This window comes from Homo sapiens, chromosome 20 (genome assembly GCF_000001405.40).
Source record: "Homo sapiens chromosome 20, GRCh38.p14 Primary Assembly".
In the NCBI taxonomy this organism is placed as follows: domain Eukaryota; kingdom Metazoa; phylum Chordata; class Mammalia; order Primates; family Hominidae; genus Homo; species Homo sapiens.
The window spans coordinates 42,967,064-42,990,446 of NC_000020.11; the positions used below are offsets into that span (position 1 = coordinate 42,967,064).

Consider the following 23,383-nt stretch of genomic DNA (forward strand, 5'->3'; position numbering starts at 1 on the left):
CAGACGATGAGTTTATTCAAGTTTGCTGTGACATTTGTGCAAGAGCCCAGCCCTTCCTCTTGTAGCTACTTAAAGACACCCTGAGAACAGGAACTGCTCCATCCCTTTGGTAGCTGCAGTGGGTTGAGTGGTGGCCCCCAGAAGATAAGTCCATCTCCTAATCTCTTGAACGTGTGAATCTGACCTTATTTGGAAAACGGGTCTTAGCAGATGTAATTAATTTAAGGTATTTAATTTAATTATTTAAGGTATTGAGATGAGATCATCCTGGTTTACCAAGGTGGGCCCTAAATCCAGTAACGAGTGTCCTTATAAAAAACAGAAGAGGAAAAGACACAGACACGTGGAAAAGAAGGCCAGACCAGGTGGAGATCAAGGCAGAGAGGGCAATGATGCGGCCACAAAGAACGCTGACAGCCACCAGAAGTTGGAAGAGACAAGGAACTGATTGTCCCCTAGAGCCTCCAAGGAAGTGCAGCCCTGCTGACACCTTGATTTCAGACTGTGGACCCCAGAACTGTGAGAGAACAAATTTGTGTTGTTTTAAGCCACCAAATGGATGGTAATTTGTTACTACAGCCCTACGAACCGAAAACAGTGACCAACCCCATTCACCAGCCCCCTAATACCTTTGTGGCATTTGTATTCCCCCACCCCCACATGCTGCCTCCTTCCCTCCTAGGCTGTTATTCAAACCATCGCAGCAGCCTCCTCATTGCCCTCGCTGCCTTCAGCCTCGCCCTCTCCAAGCCCACCCCCGCTACCAGATGTCAGGAAGAAATTCCAAAACTCAAACCAAAGGCTGATACGTTCTTGCCCTACACTTCACTCAATGCTGGCAACCCAATGAGGGACATCAGGATAAAATCGAGAATGCGCGGTCTGTGCTTGTGAATTCCTACCACCTGGCCCCAGCTAGCCTCCCATCCCTTATATCTGCCAAGACAAATTCCCCCAAATCCCCTCTCCCCTGGCCAGAAGTGACCTCCACATTCAGCCCCGATTATGGAAGGCTGTCACAGGCTATTCCTTTTGCTGGGTAAGCCCTTCCCCCTTTCAAGTCTATGTTCAACTGTCATATCCTTTTTGAGGACTTCCTTTAGCTCTTCCCTCCACCTCTACTGCCACACTTAACAGAGCGGAGTTGTCTCCTCTGGCATCCCATTGTCGATAGCCCACTCCTGAGTTACAGCAACAACGGCCACCTGACTCCACTCATCTGTTGACCTGTCCATTTCTCCATTAGCCTATGATCTCCTTTAGGGCAAGATTCATCCTTATCTGATTCATCTTTGTATCCCAGATCTTAGCCAGGCAAACAACAGGGATCCAGTGGAGAGAGAGATGGATAGGTGGGTAGGTGAAGACACAGATGTACGGTTGAACACACAAACTGGCAAAGTTCCAAATGAACTAATAAGTGGACACCTCACTGAGAGACTTAAATGCAGAAGGGTGCCAGGACATAAGAGGAACGGCTGCGAGTTATGAAAATGGGCTCCATGGGGCAAATCAAAAGTCCACTGAAGGCAAATGCATCATAACAAGACTGGCATTTCCTGGAGTTTCCGGGCTGATCAATCACTTTCATATGCATCATTCATTTACTCCTCACAATGACCTGGTGAGGTAATGAGTTACTATTAGCTCAATGCACAAGGAAGCTGAGGCTTGTGGACATCAGCTGAAGTCTCACAGCCAGCGAATGGCAGGCCAGGGCACCAGGGCCTAGGTCTGCCTGCCTCTTCCATCCACCTTCTGTCATCACAAGCCTTCTGATCTCCAGCCCTCTGATCTGCCCCAGTGGGACCCTCCTGCGTCTCTGCTCTAGTTGTAGAGGACCCATCAGGCACTTAGAGAGAAATGAGTGGTGTTGTGAACATTCGACTGTGTCCATGTGGAATCCACACACACAGTTTGCCTGAAAATGACTGATAGGATGGAAACTGACAAGTCATCATCCGCTTCGGGCACCAGCGATGACTGGTTAACATGAATATTGTGTTGATTTCCGCTAGATAGAAGAAGATGTCACTTGTCGTTAATGGGGTGTCACACGTACACTTGCCTAAAGGAAAATGCTCTTTTGGTGATTGTTCTCAATTTTCACCTCATTTTATAGCCATAAAAAAGAAAAGATTCAGCAGAAAGGATGAATCCACCTAGGGGTAGGATGGAAAGGCATTCTTCTCATTTATTTCCTTCTTTCTTTACCAGAACAACCAAAACCCAGTGAAAATGCTGGTGCAAGTCAGAAGAGGGGGACCTGGGTTCTAAGAGCAGCCAGGTACTCTGGGCTTCAGATCAGAGCCTCAGAATCCAGCAGTTATGCCCACAAGGTAGCCAAAGTCCAGCCAGTACCACCGGTCTCTCGGCCAGCTATACTTGCCTCTGCTCAACAATGATGATTTGAACGTACATGTACAAATAATAACAGATAACATTACTGAGCACTTTACTATGAACTATGGAATGTGCTAGGTAAAGACGTTACTCCACGTAAGCCATAAAATCAACCTATGGGGCAGGTGCAGATCCACAAACCCTGATTTAAGAATTCTGAATCCTCAAAAGCTTTGAAAACCAAAACATTTTTTCGTAAGTTTGGTACAGACTTATTTGGTGCTAAGATTTGAGTTAAAGTGATATACATTGACTAATAGTTTTTTCTATCTCCTTCTTACTATTAATATTCATACTTTTTGCTACAAAAATATCAACATGCTTGATTTAAGGGTGCTACCACAGCCTCTGCTGAGGGATGTTATTAATAAATATGGTACATTTACTATATTGCTTTCCTTTAAAAGTTAAATAAATCTAAATCCGAGCACATTTGGCCCCAAGGACTGCAGACAAGAAATTGAGAACCTGTTAAACCCATTATATGGATGAGGAAACAGGCTCAGAAAAGGTAGGAAACTTTCCTGAGGTTACAGAGCTCAAAAGCAGCAGATGAAGGTTTACATCTAGGCAGCCTTGCTCCAGAGCTGGCCCGGTTAATCAGTGGGCTTTGCTACCTTTGACAAATGCCCCTGCTAGCTGGTCTCAGCCCCATCCTCCCAGCGCAGCAGTTCAGTCCCTGTTTGTTCTTGAGCAAGAAGTAAGCATGTGCCTTCTTAGTCGAGGTACAAGGCAATCCCCAGGGTATCCGGATCATAATTACAATGCTTTATTAATATAAATCTCAGGATATAGACCTGTGTTTCAAATCAAGAGTCAAACACAACAATAACATCAGTCTTAGGTAACTACCAGTCAAGGATTCGGATCCAGACTTGCGCTTTTACAATGAGAAGCAAACAAAGACGACTATTAATTGGCTGATGGTCAGCCAGTATCAAATTATCACATTTTCTCACACTACAGTGGTTATACAGACCCTGGAGCTAGACAGGTTGTGCTGAAATCCTGGGTCAGCCACTTAATAGTTATGCGACCTTGACAAGTTGCATAACCTCTCTGTGCCTCAGTTCCCTTATATAGAACATGGGGGTAATGCTAGCACCCCCCTCACCAGTCGTCATGAGGATTAAATGAGATTGTATTTAAAGCATTTGGAATATAGCAAGTCCAATCTTAGCCTCTGCTCCCAGACAGACAGATGATTAGGATGGATAAATAGATGCTTTGCTTCACATTTTAACTTCTCTGAAATTGGGGCTCTTCTTACCATTGATGTGTACTTATAATGTTTATATTGTTATTCTCAGAAAGCTGCAGCTTAACTAATGGTGCTTCTTTTTCTTTATTGCATCTTAGATACGTGGTAATATGGTAAAATACTTTGGAGGAACTGGATGTATTTTTCCTCTGGTCTCCAGAGAAGAAACTGAGACGACAGCAAGTCACAGATTCAAGCTGTGTTCATAATGTGTTTCCACGTGGAGGTCACACTTTCATGTTCATGGGCAGATGAATTCTAACACCAAACACCAGGCTGAATAGGTGTTCCCATTGCAAGAGAAGTGCTGTGCACAATTTTTATTTGCATTTCAAAACCCTAACAAATGGCCACAATCAACTACTACAAATTTCTCCTAATTAGTTTTAGTCTGCACTTCTGTCACCTTTAGGAGAGAGCCAAAGATTTTAACCTTCAAAATTATCAGCAATGCATGTCAGAAAGCATTTCAAAGAAGAGTCAAAGTGCATGTAGAAACTAATTGCTGTATCTGAAAGTGCTGTTTGAAGAATTTTTCAGTCTTCAGAGAAGCAAGTTCCCCACCCCTTGGGAAAACTAGTCTTCAAACTAAAAGTTTCCCCAAATCATATACCTGAGAAAAATGTTAAAACAGACTTACCCAAAAAGGCAAAGAAATAAAACTGTAAGAATAAATAAATCAGAAATCAGATGTCTCTCCCCTGTTTAAAATCCTCCAACAGCTTCCTACTTTACTTGGAATAAAACGCAATTCCTTTACCATCACCTTCCAGGCCTCATGTGGTCTGTCCCCCACCCATTTCTTCCATTTTTTTTTCATTCTGTGTTCCCCTTCACAAACTGCTCCAAACATACCAGTCTTTGTTGTTGTTTGCTTCAAACACATCAAGTATATTCTCGCTTCAACTACTTTGCTCTTGGTATTCCTCCTTCCTAGAAAGATTCCCTAAATATTCCCCAACTCCCCTACCCACGGATACCAGGCTCCGTTGCACAGGATCGCCAACACACAAGGTGACTTAGACCCGAGGTAACTTTTTCTGATTCACACAAAAGAACCATATGGGCTAGAGCAGTCCTGCTTACCTACAATGATTCATTCATTTCTAGAACAAATGTTAATTGAGCACCTACTATGAGGTAAGCACTGTTCTGGGCACTGGAATTATAGCCTTGAACAGACAGACAAGGCCTTTGCCTTTTGGAAGCTCACATACTAGTAGGCTGAGGCACACAATGGATGACAATTTAACAATAAGCGAATAAGCAAAATATCAGAAAGTAGCCAGAGTGCACAGACAACCTGACGTGGTTATATGACAGTGACTGAATGGTAGGTAGTCAAAGAAGGCCTCCTAGAGGTGGTGATACTTGTCGTGAAATCTAAATGGCAACAAGGAATCATCATGGAATGCCATGCCTCCCCTCCCCAACCCCATTTGTTTGTTTGGGGAGGGGAGGCACGGCATTCCATGCAGAGGAAACCCAAGGTGTGAACTTTCACAAAGGCCCCAAGTAGTGCACAATCAATTTGTTTTAGAAACAAGAAGTTGGAAAGTAATGGCTAGAGAAGAGAAAGTCAAAGATAAGGCCAGACAGGTGGGAAGGAGCCAGGTGATGTGGGGCTCTACAAGTCAGAATAAAGAATTTGAAGCTGGGTGTGGTGGCTCATGCCTGTAATGCCAACACTTAGGGAGGCCGAGGTGAGCAGATAACTTGAGGTAAGGAGTTCGAGACCTGCCTGGCCAACATGATGAAACCCCGTCTCTACCAAAAATACAAAAATTAGCTGCTTGTGATGGTGCACACCTGTAGATCCCAGCTACTCAGGAGGCTGAGGCATGAGAATCACTTGAACCCAGCAGGCGGAGGTTGCAGTGAGTTGAGATCACGGATCGTGTCCCTGCACTCCAGCCTGGGCAACAGAATGAGACTCCGTCTCAAAAAGCAAAAAAAAAAAAAAAAAAAAAAGGAAGAAGAAGAATTTGAGCTTTATTCTAAAGTGAGCTATGAAAATATTTGAGGTTTTAAGCAGGGAGGTCCATGAGCTGGCGTCTATTTTGGAAAGATCACTCTAACTCAGGGTTGTCAAAAATAACTTTCTGCAATGAAGTCCTATATCCACATTGTCAGGTGCAGTAGCCACTAGCCATGTGTGGCTACTGAGTACCTAAAATTTGACTGGTGTGACCCAGAAACTGGATATTTAATTTTATTCTATTTTAATTAATTTTCATTTAAATATTCACATGTGGCTGGTGGCTACTCTATTGATCAGCACACCTGAACAGCTGCATGAAGAATACATGAAGGGTGTGGGGAAAGATGAGAGTACAAGCAGGAAGATTAATCAGGAGGCTACCACAGTGGTCCAGGGGAGAGATGGTAGCTGCAAGCAGAGATGGAGAGAAGAATACCTTTCAGGGTGGAGCCAAGAGTGTGAGAGGGAGAAAGGAAGAATGAGGAATCGTGGATACCACCTAGATTTGTGGTTTCAGAACCAAATGGATGGTGGTGCCATTTTGATCTGGGAAAGACTGAGGAAGTAGTACGTTTTGGGGAGGAAAAAAAACCTTGAAAATAACCAGCTCCTCCCCAAGTCTTCATGTGGCAGCTTCCCTCTTAACTTTTGGACCTAAAATGTCAGCTCAAATGTCACCTCCCCAGAGGAACTGTTGCAATCTCCACCCCACTTCTTTATCCCATCCTCTCTCTCTCTCTGTGTGTGTTTGTGTGTGTGTGTGTGCATCATATTGCTCCATTGTTCTCCTCCCTGTAGATTATCTGCAATTATTTAATCACGAATGCATTGCCTCTCTCTTCTCCAAACTGTAAACTCTCTGTGCAGCGACCTCAGCCCCTTTTCCCACAGTGGTCCCACCTACCTGGAACAGTATCTGGCACATAGCAGGTACTTAAATATGAATTATTAAACAAACAGGAATAATTATCTTGCCAAACAAAACACGGCTAAAGCCTCAAAGAGTATGTTTCTGGTTTGAATTTCAGACAACATAAAATAGAAGAAGACAAAGTATGCTCACACACCTGCTCAAATAATTGTTGGGATATAACTGGGAAATAATTAATTGGGATACATTTTGTTTGGGGTTATTTTACCAGTACTCCATTTATTCAGAAAACTGAGTATAGTTTCCAGGTAATGAGCCACCTCATCTGACAGATGCAGAAGAGAGATGCTAATCAGGACGGTGATTCCTAGCACTACAGTCCCATTTCTCTCCCAGAGTATTTGGGGAGACAGCTGAGAGTGTGTAGAATGAAAGCAGGGTAATCCCAGGCTGCCATTTTTGAAAGTTCAGAGTGTCCTTAAGAGCCACTTGCCCTTAGTTAAGCACACCACCATCACCCACCCATATCCCGCCAACCAGCAGCAGATGCTACCCCAGCTGAACAGGTGTACGTGGCTCAATGCAATGAGAAGGGACTTTGCAATTAAACAGATAATAATTTGAATTCAGTTTTAAGGTCTTGAGAAAATTGCATAGCTTCTCTGATCACCATTCCCCATCTGAACTCCCCAACAACCAAAACCTCTAGATATTTTCTTGCCAACTACAGCTAAGCCACATCACCCCCAAATTTTTAAGCCCCAGAGTACATCTTTGCATTTACTTGCTTCAGCAAGTTAAGCAGGAGTTTCACTCAACTTTGTCATTATTTTTCCCACTCTCCTCTCCAACTTCATTCTCTCTGTAAACGCATCATACCTCAGTGCACGCGCGCACACACACACACACACATAATCATACAATTCCACACCCACAGACACACACAGAGCTTCTCTGCAGCTTCTTTCACTCTACACTGACTCACAGTCGTGAGAACACATTTCCTTTTCCTCTTCACAGGCTCCTGAAATGAGATCATATCTGCTAAAAGCAATCGCAAGTGCTGGGTGAACAACTCCAGAAAATTAGTACAAGTTCCACTACGGCTAGAGACAGAGAAGAGGAAAAATCTGTTCAATTTTGACTGTATTCGCATTACCCACAAAAGGAAACATACTTCTTATTTCTTCCACTTATCCCAATCCTTAACAAAAATTAAAACAAAAGCTATAAGCTATTTCCAGCACTACCCCCAATGGTCATTTTTAATTTGTCATCAGCATTCGTTCCAAATCAGAAATGTACCAGTCACTTCACTTTTTGAGTATGATTTCTCATCAGTGCTGCTGCATCATCTCTATTTCCAAGGAAGCTAAAGACAACATAACGTTTTAAAAAATAACTAGAATGCATTATAGATTTAACCATGAGTCATCACAGACATTGAATAAAAGTATAACTCTGCCTCCGTGAGCCTGACATATAGACATTCTGAACAAGGAAATAATCTGTGGAATATCTGATATAGACACAAAGGACAAGAGATTAAAAAAAATCAGATGTGAAAAAAATGTTGTTTTCCATTGCTTTGAAAATAATTGAAATGAAAAACTATCTAATATCCACTCAATGGAATATCATGCAGCCACTCAAAGCTATTTTTACAAAGAGTTTTTAATAACATGAGAGAAGTGCATATGCTATGGTTACATGGAAAAAAAGGCAAGACACATGATAATATTTACAGCATGATTTCAATTATATGAAAATGCACCAACAACCCTAAAAGGAAACACAAAAAAATACCACCGATGATTATCTTTGGGTAGTCAAAAAAATGTATGGATTCTTATTTTTGTAATCCATTTTCCTATATTTTCCAGACTTTATGGATAGGTACTTTTTTATATAAAAACCTTTCATTTGGCAAATTTTTATTTTAAAAAATCATCTAAACTTTGTAAACTTCTTTTATTTTGTGAAAATATTTTCTGCAAAAGCTTCTGTCTTAAACTGCCTTCATAGTATTGTGACGATGCTTGAGGAAACAAGACAGAATTCTCACTACGCCTATACCCACTACCAATTTCCAAGCGGGGGCAGCTAAGGTTCCAGCCAACACTACTTTTCTGGAGGCTATAGATGGGTGGGAAATCTGGCAGTCTAGCCGTTACGTAGAAATCCCAAGGCAATCAGCAAAGAAGGCTAAAACATTAAAACCACCATGGCACACGTATGCCTATGTAACAAACCTGCATGTTCTGCACATGTATGCCCCGTTTTGGGGAAGAAATAAAAATTAAATTAAAAATTAAAAAAAACTATCAGTCCAACTTACCCCCCCACCAAAAAAAAAAAAGAGAGAACATCTTAGATAGGGTCATGAAGCACTCGATCTTCTCACATGCATTCTCTCCTCCTTTACACATGAAATCCCTGCAAGGCCAGCGTTATCATGCCCATTTGACAGATAAGAAAATGAATGTATACAGAGAGGAGGAACCTTGCTCAAGGTCACAAATCAGTCTCCTGTCAACATCTGGAAGCAAATCCATGTCTGTGATGCTAATGATCAGGATCTTTGCATTATACCATATGGCAGCTTTCATCTGGACTACAATAATTGAGAAAACTGTATCAGATACAGGGAGCCCTGCATATCATCATCATCAGGAAAGACCTGCACTGGGCCTCCTGCCAAAGGATACCTAACTGTATAAGTTTAATGAATACAGGCAACCAAATTCCCACCTTATCCCTTAAAATCCTAGAAAGAACACAGAGTTGAAATTAATTGTATTTAAAGTATAGTATGCATTTTTTATTTATTTTTTTTTTTTTATTGAGACAGAGTCTCGCTCTGTCGCCCAGGCTCAAGTGCAGTGGTGCAATCTCGGCTTAGTGCAACCTCCGCCTCCTGGGTTCAAGCAATTCTTCCACCTCAGCCTCCCAAGTAGCTGGGATTATAGGCACCCACCACCACACCTGGCTGATTTTTTTCATTTTTAGCAGAGACAGGATTTCCCCATGTTGGCCAGGCTAGTCTCAAACTCCTGACCTCAAGTGATCTGCCTGCCTTGGCCTCCCCAAGTGCTGGGATTACAGGCGTGAGCCACCACACTCAGGCTGTTTATTATTATGGAATACTATATCCTAAACATGGGATTACTACATCAAAATACAGGAAGATGCTTAAAGGCTCTTGATATTTCTTTTCAAATTTTCCTAATAAAAGTTTATGTGAGTTTATATGTCCATAAACATGGTATACAAATAACCATTTAGTTACATCTTTGCCACCTCTGGGAACTGCAATTTTAGAAAACTGTCAAACTGACAAAACAAAGAGGGAAGAAATGGAAGACTTCCTATGTCAGCTTTTGAAGAGGTCATGTATGACATAATCTGAATATCCCATTCAAATTTTTAACCACAGCACTGCCGAAGCCAGCCAGCCAGCCTGACTTAGCCCTCTTATGGGAAAATGTAGCAAGTGGTTCTGTGGTTAAAACAAGCACAGACTCATAGGAGAATTCAAAAACCAATGAAGACCCTGGGTTCCAAATCCAAAATGCCAGACAGATGAAAGGAGAGAATGGAGGATCTAGCATTATATTTACTGATGGTCTATTTGGTACCACATTCTTTCCTATGTTCTAAATTAGCCCTTAGAATAATCTTGTGAAGACCTACATTTGCTCCCATTTTATAGACAAAAAGAGTCAAGATTCAAAAACGTCAACAAGGGCACCCAGCTAGTAAATGCAAAGCTCAAATTTAAACTCAGACTCTTCCACCCAAAACTTTTTGATTCTTTACCCTTATGTTTTGGTTTTAATATTTTATTTTCATATCACTTATTACACTTTCCAATTTTAAAAGAAATACTTGTTTATTATAATAAATATGTAAAGTAGTTTGGAAGATTCTCTAAAGAAAAAAATCAAGAATTGTTCATAATCTACCACCCAGAGACAAGAACTGTTAATACTTTGTTTCATTTTCTTCCATTTATTTATGTTTACATATAATTTAAATAAAATCAGTACTAGATTGTATATAAAGGCTAGTTTGCTAATTTTTAAACTAAATAGAGTGTGACTTTTGACAGGGCATTTAGTATTACTTGTAATTATCATTTTTTACATCTGCAGATAATTATATCAAATGAAAGCCACATAATTATTTTAGCTACTCTCTATTGCTGAACATTTAAAATTGTTTTCCTCAGTTTTCTATCTCAATCTTGTGATAAAATCCTTTTATATTACCTTTTATGTGCATCTCTAATTGTTTCCCTAAACTAATAAATTCGTGGGAATGGAATTATAATAGTCCTCCCTTATCCACAGGAACTATGTTCCAAGATCTCCAGTGGATGCCTGGTGCATTGGATAGTACCCAACCTTATACATACTACATTTTGTCCTAAACAAGATCTCCAGTGGATGCCTGGTGCATTGGATAGTACCCAACCTTATACATACTACGTTTTGTCCTAAACAAGATCTCCAGTGGATGCCTGGTGCATTGGATAGTACCCAACCTTATACATACTACGTTTTGTCCTGAACATACATATTAATATCTATGTTAAAGTTTAACTTATAAATTAGACACAGTAAGAGATTAATAACTAATAATAAAGTAGAATAATTATAATGATATTCTGTAATCAAAGTATGTGAATGTGATCTTTCTCTTTATCTCTCTTTCTCAAAGTATCTTATTGTTCTGTACCCACCTATTTTCAGACCACAGGTGAATTCGGGTAACTGAAACCACAGAAAGCAAAACTGAGAAAAGTGAGAGAATACAGGGTCAAAGAGTATGCACATTTTAAGGTTCTAAAACTATATACTAAACTGCTCTCCAGAAAGATTGCAAGAATTTATATCCTCTAGATGAACATATCACTTTATCACCACCAATACTGTCAGAGGCATTTGATCCAGAGCAACTCCATCTTGAGCAGTGGCTGGGTAAAATGAGGCTGAGACCTACTGGCCTGCATTCCCAGACGGTTAAGGCAGTCTAAGTTACAGGATGAGATAGGAGGTCGGCACAAGATACAGGTCATAAAGACCATCCTGATAAAACAGGTTGCAGTAAAGAAGCCCGCTAAATCCCACCAAAACAAAGATGGCCACGAGAGTGACCTCTGGTCATCCTCACTGCTACACTCCCGCCAGCGCCATGACAGTTTACGAATGCCATGGCAACGTCAGGAAGTTACCCTATATGGTCTAAAAGGGGAAGGCATTAATAATCTATCCCTTGTTCAGCATATCATCAAGAAATAACCATAAAAACGAGCAACCAGCAGCCCTTCGGCTGCTCTGTCTATGGAGTAGCCGTTCTTTTGTTACCTCAGTTTCCTAACAGACTTGCTTTCTCTTTACTCTAGGAACTCACCCTGAATTCTTTCTTGCACGAGATCAAAGAACCCTCTCTTGGAGTCTGGACCAGGACCCCTTTCCTGAAATAACACTATTGTTTAAATTGTTGTCAACGTAAATCGAGAAAAAATGGTACCTTTATTCTTTTTAAATTTATATTTCAGCAACTAAAAGGAAAGCTAATTTTTTTTCAGATTTTTATTGACTATGGCAATTTTTCTTACATGAGTTGTAAGAAAAACAACTCATTTTTCTGTCAAGACACCTTTTTGTTGCTTATTAGTGTTCTTTATATATCAAGGATAGTTAGCCATTGTGAATCATATTTGCTGTAAATATTTCCCTCAAGTTGTTCTTTACCTTTTTTGTAATTGTATTTTTACTTACAAATGTTTATGAATTTTACACAACTAACTCCATTATCCTTTCTCATCATTTGTTTCTTGGTTTTTACACTTGGAAAGCCCTTGCTCCCCGTAAAATCAAATACACATTCACCTATATTTTTGTAGACTTTGTTCTTTCTACTGCACGCTGTGCTGATTCTTATTTCAGACGGGTGAAATGTCAAACAACTGAAATATCCTTAAGGTTTGAAAAAAAAAGGAGAAGTAAATCTATCTGAGAGGACACATTCACTGGCAGATAAATTATGGATGATCCTGCCCCCTTTGTAATCTCAGGGATGACAACTCCAGTGTGCACCAAAAACCCTTAGAAAAATTCTAAATCCCCTTATCCTAGGTCTCCAGTCTGGGCCTTATGGGAACCCTAAAGCTGTGATTCTCCCCAGGGAGTATAAAACTTTGGTCTAAAGGTGAATAACTGTAGAGTCAGGTAGGTTTTGTCCCAAAATCTCAAATCACCCAGGTATTCCCAGAACGTCTATCCTGTGTCCAGCCCCAAATCTCAGCCAGAGAACCCAGGGAGCACACAGGCATGCCTGGAGGGGGTCTTTTTGAGATTCCAGAAGCCGGAGAGCATGCAAGTATGCCGGCCGGGAAGGGGGGGTGGGGGGGGGTCTTCCTGAGAGAAAGCAATTAAAATTCACATCACAAAAGGAATGAGGCTTTTTTTATTCTAAACTGCAAAACGTGGTGTGGTTAATCAGAGCAATTATAAATGGTAACATCATTATTCAAGCTTCTATTTCCAAACGAAGTCATTTAAATGAATACATTTTCTGCCTTGGAGCAGTAGCTGCCAGTGAGCCTTTAAAAAGAAAAGAAAGGAGAAAAAGAAAAAAGAGAAAACCGGATGAAGCCGCTGGTGCAAAACCTTGGAAAATAGGGTAGAAAGAACTCAGCATTGGGAATTGGGAGCCTGGGGTACAAACATAGATCCAACACGGTCTCATTCTGTAACCTTGGGCAAGACTTCAGTTCCCACCTGTGCAACGGGGAAATAGATGAACTTGTATTCGTGACCCCTTCTTGCTCTGACATTGTGAATCTAGATTTTAACCACTAAAGGTCTAATTTTTCTACATGCTGCAGCTGCAATTTTATAGAATTCATCAATGTGTTAAATACATTCTCTTATTCAAATTCGAAGACAAATTCTTCAGAAACTGCCTAAGCTGTCTCTAAATGGTGACAGACTTCCCCCCACCCTACTGCAGCCTGTATTGTGTGTGGTCTTGAAGGAAGGAGCACGTGAGTGTTGAAATCAGATGGTCCTGGGGGTCAAATCTCAGCTCTGACCAAGAAAGCCTTGACATTCCTTCCCCTTGGTTTGACTAAAGTTTTAGACAGGTTTCTTCCTGATAAGCTCCTCACCTCCCTTTTGTTAGAGCGTCTACTTTAGAAAACTTGTAACTACAAATTCTTTCTCTGCTCCTTTAAAAAAATTCTGCTGGTCATTTACTAGTTTTACAACCCAAGTAATGTCTTTCTCAAGGACCTGGGAAGCAACCATTTGAAATGTGAGCATTGAAGGAGAGAGCGTCCCTATCTCCCAGTCTGCGGAAGAGTGGGAGCCCAACTTCAGTGTGCCTTTCTCCAACTTTTTAACCTCTCCTATCATGAAGATATGAGAAAGTTTACTTTTCCTTTAGTAAACTTAAGTAGCAAACACAGATGGCCTGAGAATTCCAGCTCTTAAGAATTCCTCGTCCCTTTGTTTCAGGAGAGTTAAGTCCTGTCTCGACCTGATTACAATGGTCTTGAATAATATCTTCCTTGCCTGATTAAATTTGTCAGGTGCAATTTTTACTTAGGCAGTTCCAACTGTGTAAATGTACCTCCTTCAACTTCCTTGAACTTCAGGGTCCCTATCCATGAAAAGCAAACAACAGAAAAAGTCCTTCTTTTAAGGAGTGAATGGTATATTTCAGGGAATAAATCAGAACATGCATGTAATCACCTGCACAGAGAAGGTGGGAGATTGTTTGCAATATCTACTTCCCTGTAACCACACCCTTGGGTTATCCCTTCCCACACTGACTGTGGCCCTGGCCACGTGAGTTGCTTTGGCCAATAAGGCATCAACAAACATGCTGCAAGCAGAGGCTTGAAGAAGTACTTGCGCATTGGGCTTGCCCTCTTGTTGCACTTGGAAGCCTGAGAGCATCACAGGGATGAACCTGACCTAGCCTGCTGGATGGGAACCCACATGGAGGAGAACCAAGGTGCTCCAGAGGGCAGCCTGCTGAACTCCAGAGATGTGAGCAGGGCACTTGAGACACATGAGAGAACCCAGCAGAAACTAAACAAGCTGGCCAGAGAAGAATAACCACCTACTGGACACGCATGATTGTACACAAAATAAAACGGCTATTGTATAAGCCACTAAGTTGTGAGATCATTTGTTACACAGCAAAAACTGACACTATCAGGCACTGCATTTATGTTCATTTCCTTTTTCCCTTTTCTAATGGATGGCTTTGGGTGTTGGCTAGGAAGGCTGAGCACTAGCAAAACAGTCACCAACCCAATCAGAAATGGCAATGGTCTCTTTATGGGGCGCTCTTTTCAGCTCCTTCCAGCTCCAGAGGCCACAACTAGACCGAGGGAAGAAGACATAGGTGGGAAGATCCCAATAAGTCCCTAAACTCATCTGAAAAGATATGTGGGTTTCCTAACAAACTCATATAGCATCACCAATATGTGGGTTTCCTGATTTTGGCTCAGGCACCCTTGGGAAAGTTTCACGCATTCCTGGAAGTACTGAAAGACCTTCGTTAGGTTGACGAAGAGGTGTCATCCATGAGTTTCTGCCTACACTTACCACCAAATTTTCAAACGTACTCAGCATCATTATGCTGCCGGCACGGGGCTGGGTGGTGGAGAGAGAGAGAGCCATGACTAAGAAGCCATCCATCTGTCCTCACAGAGCTCACTGTGCATGTGGGAGGTAGACCTTAATAGAGTAAACAAACAAGTAACATAATTATATCATGTGATAAAGATTATGCAAGAAATACACACAGAGCTTGGCAGAGCGTGACTGAGCACGGGACCATGAACACCCACTCAGCAAGGAGGGAAGGGAAGGCCTCTCTGAGGAGGTGAGATGTGAAATAAGATCTAAGCGTATAAAAAAAGCCAACCATTAGGAAAAAGAAAAATCTGCCAAAGAGAACTATGTGAAGGCCCTGAGGCAGCAAGGAGCTTCTAGAAGTCAGAAGGTGACCAGTGTAGATGGATCGAAAGGGGAGGAGCGATGGGAGATGAGGCCATGGAGGTGAGCAGGGCCAGCTCCGTCCACTCGGCTTCCCCAGCCAAGGACCTGGTTGCCTCCCAGGTCCTTGATGAGCAGCCTCCATCCCTCTGCTCCTCTCCCACACCCGCCCTCCTGAGGTTCAGCTCCAGGGTGCCATTGCTGCTCTTATGACACGGAGAGCAGAGGTTGAGGATCTGATGACTGCAGGCACAATTCCTCTGTGCCAGGCACTGCGTGAACTTTCTGCCCAACTTCTTATAATCTATCCAGGTAGATATAATCACTACCTCCCACATACCTTACGGGCATTAGACGATCTTCCCAAGGTCACACGGCCAGCCGGGGTCAGCAAGCAGCTGCCAGTGCTGGGATTTGGGCAGCAACCTGTCTACACAGGCTCAGACTCCAGGCTGGCTCCGGTGGCTCCTTTGGTGTTATAGTCACTTCCCCACTGGGTGCTTTGTCTCTTCTGCTCTTGTTATTTCAAGCTCTCCCATCCTTTGTGTGCACATCCTTTGTGTGTCTCTTCAGGGAGCCCCAAAAGAGACCCTTAAACATCTCCTCTTACATTTCACTAGGTTAAATTTAGGCCACTTTGTAGCCTGTCACAGCCATGCTGAGTGCTAAAATGCCCTACAACTCCAAGGTTGGAAATAACAATGAAAATGAGTTGAGAAGGGAGACCCAGTGTTGGCTGAGTGATTTTTCTCTGCCAGTCACAGAGCTAAGCACTCTACATCCTCCTGCTGTTTAATCCCTTAATCAACCCCAGGAAGCTGAGCAACTTCCCAAGGTCACAGAGACACCAAGGCAGAGCCACAGTGGGAGTCCAGGCACCACCAGGGTGTTCTGCCTCCCAAGTGAAGTCCCCCTGGATGCCATATCCACTATCAGAGGGACATCTCCAAGCTGGGCACATGACACCAGCACAGAAGGTGTCTTGCAGGTCCTGGGCTCCTCCTGGGATCTGGGGATGCCCACTTCACACTCCTGAGACAAGTGTAGTCCACAGGGAGGTGTGGCCAGAGGCCCTGCCCACAACCCACTAGAAATGAGAGATGGTTTCACACACCTTGGAGGTACTGCCCAGAGCTTCCCCTTCCACTTCCACCCCACTGTCGTGTTTCTTTCCAGTTTCCTGCCTTACTTCTGGCAACCTAATGTTTTGTGTATAGGCCTTATTCCATTTTCCCTGTTTAACATAGGTTGTATTTCCCTGGGCACGCTGGCCCCATCTCCATCTCCCATGGGTCCCAATTTGCCCTTCTCCACCACCAACACACATTCTTCCAATCAGACAACTCCACTTTGGTCTCAGCTCCCCAGCCTGGAGCTGACTGGTCAGGTCTACCATGCCCATTTGAGTTTTATCTGCAGGATACCACCATGTTCGCTCACAATCACATGCATGCAAATATGGACAGGTACACTCAGCTGCACCAAAACATACAAGTTAATAGGCATGCATTTATCCACATGTGCACAAGCACACAGCTCCCCATATATAAGCAGGTATGTTCATATATGAATGCACATGTATGTACAAACATGAGTGTATATGCAGGCTCACAGACACATACATACATGCACCCTTCCTCAATTCACAAAGAAGTAACTAATCAAATGCCACAAGTCATTCACAAGCCACGAGAAGACTGGAATTGACAGACCATATAAAGAGACAGACAGAAAAAGTCCTGAACATGCCAGTTAAAAAGGCTCTGCTATTGTCTATCACACAGAAGCTTGTAAAAAGACCACATTATTTCTGACACAAATACAGCTCTCCACTTTCTGTAGAAGGATTCCAATAAAGATAAGAGCTTTCTCATTATTCTAATGTGGAACAAAAACAATCTCCCCTTTCCAAATCAGCACACAGAAGTAAAGTCTCCTTAGTTAACTCTGCAGCTCCCTACCCCATGATGCTCAGCTCACTCCACCATCATGCAGCAAATTTTCTTGAGCACCTACTATGGGCTGTCATGCAAGTTTTATTATTTAGTTCTCACAATAACTTCCAAGGTAGGAATCATTGCTTTTATTTTTACAGAAAAGTAAATAGGCTCAGAGAAGTTCTTTAACTTAACCAAGTCATATAGGTAGTAGAAGAAGAGCCTAGGCTTGTCTGACACCAAAGTCCATTCTCCTTGTATGATGCCAGTCATAAGAACAAAGAGTTCAAGAAAGACTCAAGACCTAGGAATCAGCAACAGTTAAAGGAATGAATGCATAGCATGTGGTAAGCAGAGCCAGTAAGTGCTAACGACAGAGGCTGACCAGGTGGCTTAGGAAGTTTTAGGTGGCCTAAAGGGTGAATGTACTGGTAGAAGACAGTGGGGTAAGACAGCAGGCAATTCAGGAAGAAGGAATGAGGAATAACCAGACATGAAGATTGAGTGAATATGACCCAACTGGGAGCTACAGCAGGAGGGATCTTGAAAGAACGGAATGGAAGTTGCAATGGGGGTCAGGACTTTGAAGAGCAGGTTCAAGAGCCTGGATGCCATTACTTCAACATTTTTACGACTCAGCAACTCCATGCCAGGCCCTGTACTAGAAAGTGGGAATACCGCCGGGTGTGGTGGCTCACACCTGTAATCCCAGCGCTTTGGGAGGCCGAGGTGGGTGGATCATGAGGTCAGGAGTTCGAGACCAGCCTGACCAACATGGTGAAACCCCGTCTCTACTAAAAATACAAAAATTAGCTGGGTCTGGTGGCTCGTGCCTGTAATCCCAGCTACTCGGGAGGCTGAGACAGGAGAATCACTTGAACCCAGGAGGCAGAGGTTGCAGGAGCCAAGATCACACCATTGCACTCCAGCCTGGGCAACAGAGTGAGACTCCGTTGCTAAATAAATAAATAAATAAAGTGGGGATACAGTGGCCAACAGAACAGAACAGAACCCAACAGAACCAAGACCCCTGCTCTTGTAGAGCTTACTCTCTTGTGGGGGTAGGGGTGGGAAACAGATCAAAAACAATGCACTTTTTTAAAAATACAGACTTTTTAAAATTATATAGAATGAAGGTGGTAAATACTACAGAGAAGAAAACCTAAAAGTAGATCAGAGGTAAAGGGGAGGGGCCATAATTGTAAATAGAATGGTCAGACTCAGCCTCACTGAGAAGATGTTCAAAGTCTAGCGGGGGGATGAGGAGTGCGCCCCCCAGAGCCAGGGGAAGGTTGATGCAGGTATCAACAGCAGCCAAGGTGAAGGTACGCCTCCCTGTTCAAGGAGCAGCCCAGCAGTGTGGCCAGCAAGGCTGGAGCCAGATGAATGAGGGTAAGAGAAGCAGAACACAAGGTCTACATTTATGACCGTGAACCACAGGAGCCTCAAAAGGCAAGACAACAGGGACATAAAATTAGTACAATGGTGTAGTGAGTCCAAGTTACCGCGGATCATTTCATTCATCTCTATCGATCATTCATTCCATGAACAGAGCAGCAGGAAAAAAAGGATCTTAATATGATATTCAACTAATCCTTGACATTAATATGAAGCTCTGACACTATGCCAACGAATATGTCATTGTACACACACTACCTTCCTAAGGCCACAGGAAATGGGAGCGGCCTCAAGCCAGATTTTCTTCTGTACCAGAATCATTTTCAAGAGCGATTAGGTGGGAGGGCACAGACCCTGAGGTGTTCCCAGCCCCTCTGTGACTCACTGAGGTGTTCCCAGTGTCTCCAAAGCAAACCAGCTTCCTGCAGCCTCCACCTGTCCATTTTAGGACGACCAGCGTTTGATGAAAATAGACCTAAGCATTCTGGCATCTTCCTCCACCTGGACTCATCCTGAGTCACCCACTCCCCTCTGCAGCATCCTGTGGAATCCAACTCCAGCATTCCCCTTAGTACAGCTCGAGAGACAGTTTCTGAATGGAGCTTTGTCTAGCCCTAAGGGTCATATGAGGTCAGATGAGGCCAGCAAACAGAACTAGAGATTCCTAGCTCATGGACGATGATGGTGACTGTGACAAAGAAAGCGACAGTAGATAGTCATCCATTCTTCCATGCGTCACTCACTGTGGGAAGGAGTTTACATGGATTTATCTCATTTGAGGCTCATGAAACTCCTACAAGGTAGATAGTATTTATATCCTATCTGCAGATGAAGAAACTAAAGCATAAACAGTAAGCAGCCTCCACACCCGACTGTGAAGACACCGAACCACACCCAGCCCTAGAAAGAGAGCTGTACAGTGGGGGCTTCTGTGAACACCAGAGGCTGGGGACAGACTCTCCTCTGGGAGAGGACTAACCCATCCATCCTTTGCAGTTGCTGTCTTAGAGGCCACATCCCTGCATCAGGCTAGACCAGGTAGAAACAAACACACACTGACTCCCGCTTCAGCGGTTCCAATCCTCATATGGTACTGGGGCTGTAGGAAGGCACAAGAGGCCACAGAACTCAGGACAGTTGGTGGGCAGCCATCATCTCCACCTAGACCCCCACATCCACCCCTCCCTGCCTCCCTCTGTTGTTTCCACCCATCCTCGCCCCTGCAACCAGCACTGCCTCCCTACAAACTCCTCTGAGGTGATACCACTGCCCTGCCAGGAGCTTCTCCCCCAGCTGCCCTTGCACTTTCTACACTGCCCTAGAGGGTGCCTACTGGCCACATGAGGCTACTTGAATTTAAATTGACTGACATTAAATAAAATGTCAAATTCAGTTCCTCAGTCGCACGAGCCACATTTCAAGTGCACAATAGCCACCAATGGTTGGTGGCTATGGTGGTCGGCAGTGCAGATACAGAATACTGCCCTCAAGGCAGAAAGTCCTGTCTGCAGCTCTGGCTTAGCTGACAAAATCCCAACCCCTCATGGGGCCTGCCAGACCTGCATGGTCTCACCTTGCTTGCTTCCCAGCCTCTTCTGGTGGACACTTGGTCATGCTGTCACACTCCAGCCACCCACCCTGTCTTCAGTTCCTCAAACATACCAAATGTCAGCCACCTCAGACACTCACCCCGCCCACACTCCGCCCACCCCTCCCCCACAGTTTCCTCGGCTAAAGCCCCCATTCTATCAGGAGTCACTGCAAACTTTGCTTCCTCCAAGCCATCATCCCTGACACCCCCACACCAAAATTCACCCATACAGATAAACAATAGTTGCAGTAATTATCATAACCTCTCACTGCCTGTCTCTCCTTTCATGGCACTTATGAAACGTGTAACATCTTAAGGCCACAGTCACCCGAAAGCTTGACGGGAGCTGGGGATCCTCCTCCATGCTCACACATGTGGCTGCTGGCTGGAGGTCACGTGGGCCTCTTCACAGGACAGCTTGCCATTGCTTCCCTCTGAGCAAGGGATCCCACAGACAGGCCGAGATGGAAGCTGTAGTAGCTCTTATTACAATCGAATCTTGGAAGTGACAAATCAAAGCTTCTGCCAAAGTCCACTGATCACACACATCAGCCCTGGAACAACATGGGAGGGATTCTACAAGGAGGCAAGGATTTTGTGCCCCATCTTGGAGACGGGCCACTGAAGGCTGTGTGTCCTGTTTATCACTGTGTCCCCAGAGTGTTGAAAATAGAATAAGTGCTCTGTCAATGTTACCAAAACAAAGAATGGCAGCCTTCTCATCAGAGGGGCCTCACTTTCCTTGTCTACAAAACCTAGGAGTCAGGCGTGAAAATATTTAATGTTCTTCCCCATTCGAAAAGTCCTCTGGTCCATGTTGACTATGCAGTCCGTGCTTGTCTTGCCCTTAGTTGAAGTGGTGACATTTAAGTGAACAGCTGTGGATCTGTGCTCCACGGGTCTGCTCTCTCAGGGACAGGGTCATGGGATGGGGGAGATGTACCAGGCTTCCCTCCCTCTGACTTGGGTCTAGTCCAGGCTTCCCATCCCCCATGTGCTGCAAGCAGCTCGGTCATACAACACATGGCAACTGACAGGTTCATGACGGCCAATGAAATTATATGCACCATACAGCAGGGAAACACACTCACACAGGACCAGCAGAGCCACTGACTTTTTATTAGATGCTTCTCCCAGGCAATAAACCAGGAGAGACAGTGGCTGCAGGGAAATAGGAACCCCTGGTCAGAACCTGTGACTGGGTCAGTCATTTGCAGCAGAGATGAACATTGAGTCTTGGCCTCAGGGGTAAAGAGTCAACCGGAGGGACATGCTAGGAATGAGGGCAACCATTCGACGAGGTGACAGTGTGCCTTGTGACCTGCAACTGCCAACACCCATGAGCATCACAATGATGGAATAGTAATAGCTACCTTGCAAGAAGCACCTGCTACATCTAAGACACTTCACATGCTTTATCCCTAATGCTTGCATCATCTTCTAGACACTAAGCCCATGTTTATCCTTTATCATAAGGTCTCAGGATAACATCACACAGCATATGACAGAGAGTAAGCACTCAATAACCATTGTGTGAATGAATTAGTAAATGAATGGGCAAATGCCATCAGATTGGCATTATTATGCCCATTTTATGGAATAGAAAACTTAGGTTTATCTCTTTGCTCCAAGTTATGTGGGTGGTACTGAGTAAAGGGCTGGGTTTGAACTCTCAACTCCCTGATTCCAAGTCTGAGACCCTTTTCACATTACACCAAATCCTTAAATATTTTGCACATGGGTGCAAGCACAATTAGTAAAATTCTACCAATTTCCATGGGATAGCACAGTTCTTCATGAAAACACAGAGATCAGGAAATATTTGTGTGAGCAGTGAGAGATGACAAAATGTAGCACTGCCGTGGTTTGGGAGAACCCGGGAGTATCACTTTAGCAGTTAGCCAGTGTACAAGGCATACCTTGGCCCATGTGGCTGGTGCCCTTCCTGGGTCACAGCAAGTGAGCACTGGGCTTTCCCAGTGAGGCTGACAAGGACTGCCCAGGTAGAACCAGGGGAACAGGAAATGTGTCACCCTAGAAACGAGTATTGGTTTATTATTATACAAAACTCCACTGGCTCCCACAAATCAACTCAGGTACCACAAGGATGTTCCATCAATGTTTTCATTCCCAAACACTTGATTCCATTTCCCCAGCCACTCCCTCCTCCCTCCCTTGACAGCAGAAGAGTCTACAGACTGCTGTATTTTCTGATTTGCTTTCATGCTTCATTTACCTTACTTAAGTATGATTTCAACTGGGAAAATTGATGATTATAAGCTGGAATTTTGAGATGTAAACTTGAAATCACTGAGAATGTGAAAGGCAATGAGCACAGAAAAACCTCCAGTCACAGAAGGTCACACCACAGTCACATCCCCTTGGGCTTCTCCCAATAACACCACAGCCCTTGTGGAGATGTTGAATGAAGACTGAGCAGCATTCACCAATGAGTAGGATGCACATAGGTGCTTTGTTTCTTATAGGCTTGTCATTATTGATTATTGTAGAAACAAACAAAAAAATGTGCCTAAGTATCATGACACGCACAAAACATCTATCATCTTACGAAGCCGTCACCGTTTCAAAGAGATATTAAAAAACATATGCACTTTTAAAAGACATTTTAAAGTCTATGGGAAAAGAAGGCATGATGGTGAACAACTTAGAACAGGGGTCAGAAAACTATGGTTGGCTGCTTATTCTAAATAAAGTTTTATTGGGAAAAAATCTATTGGAAAAATATTTCCTAGCTGGCTTTCTAGAGAAACGGTTGCCAACCTCTGATTTAGATACTGCATTGAGGATTTGTTCAGCTTTTTTTTAATGTTGGTATTTATGAAGATGTTAAGTTAATAAGTGACTGATAATAAAATCATCTGGTGCATGGGATTTAGGGTTGTTTTGTTTCGAAGGGAGAA

The 23,383-nt window shown here is 43.4% G+C and overlaps 1 protein-coding gene and 1 long non-coding RNA gene across 7 annotated transcripts in view, besides 2 other annotated features; one reads left to right on the plus strand and one right to left on the minus strand.

Annotated features, from left to right (window-relative positions):
* PTPRT (protein tyrosine phosphatase receptor type T) overlaps positions 1 to 23,383 on the minus strand; it is a 1,158,017-nt gene that overhangs the window by 935,174 nt on the left and 199,460 nt on the right. The window lies entirely within an intron of this gene.
* On the plus strand, positions 1,680 to 4,429 carry PTPRT-AS1 (PTPRT antisense RNA 1). The gene is made up of 2 exons (NR_149017.1): positions 1,680 to 2,598; positions 3,763 to 4,429. It is a non-coding gene; the product is annotated as a PTPRT antisense RNA 1 (long non-coding RNA).
* Positions 18,962 to 20,161: an enhancer, noted in NCBI's record as "CDK7 strongly-dependent group 2 enhancer chr20:41614665-41615864 (GRCh37/hg19 assembly coordinates)". NCBI's record gives its function as "activates an origin of replication core promoter dependent on BRD2, BRD4, P300/CBP, MED14 and CDK7 cofactors, with strong dependence on CDK7, by STARR-seq in HCT116 cells {active_cell/tissue: HCT116}" and the evidence as "EXISTENCE:reporter gene assay evidence [ECO:0000049][PMID:35650434]".
* Positions 19,226 to 19,520: a silencer, noted in NCBI's record as "tiled region #9137; K562 Repressive non-DNase unmatched - State 24:Quies". NCBI's record gives its function as "represses a minimal TATA promoter and a strong SV40 promoter by Sharpr-MPRA in K562 cells {active_cell/tissue: K562}" and the evidence as "EXISTENCE:reporter gene assay evidence [ECO:0000049][PMID:27701403]".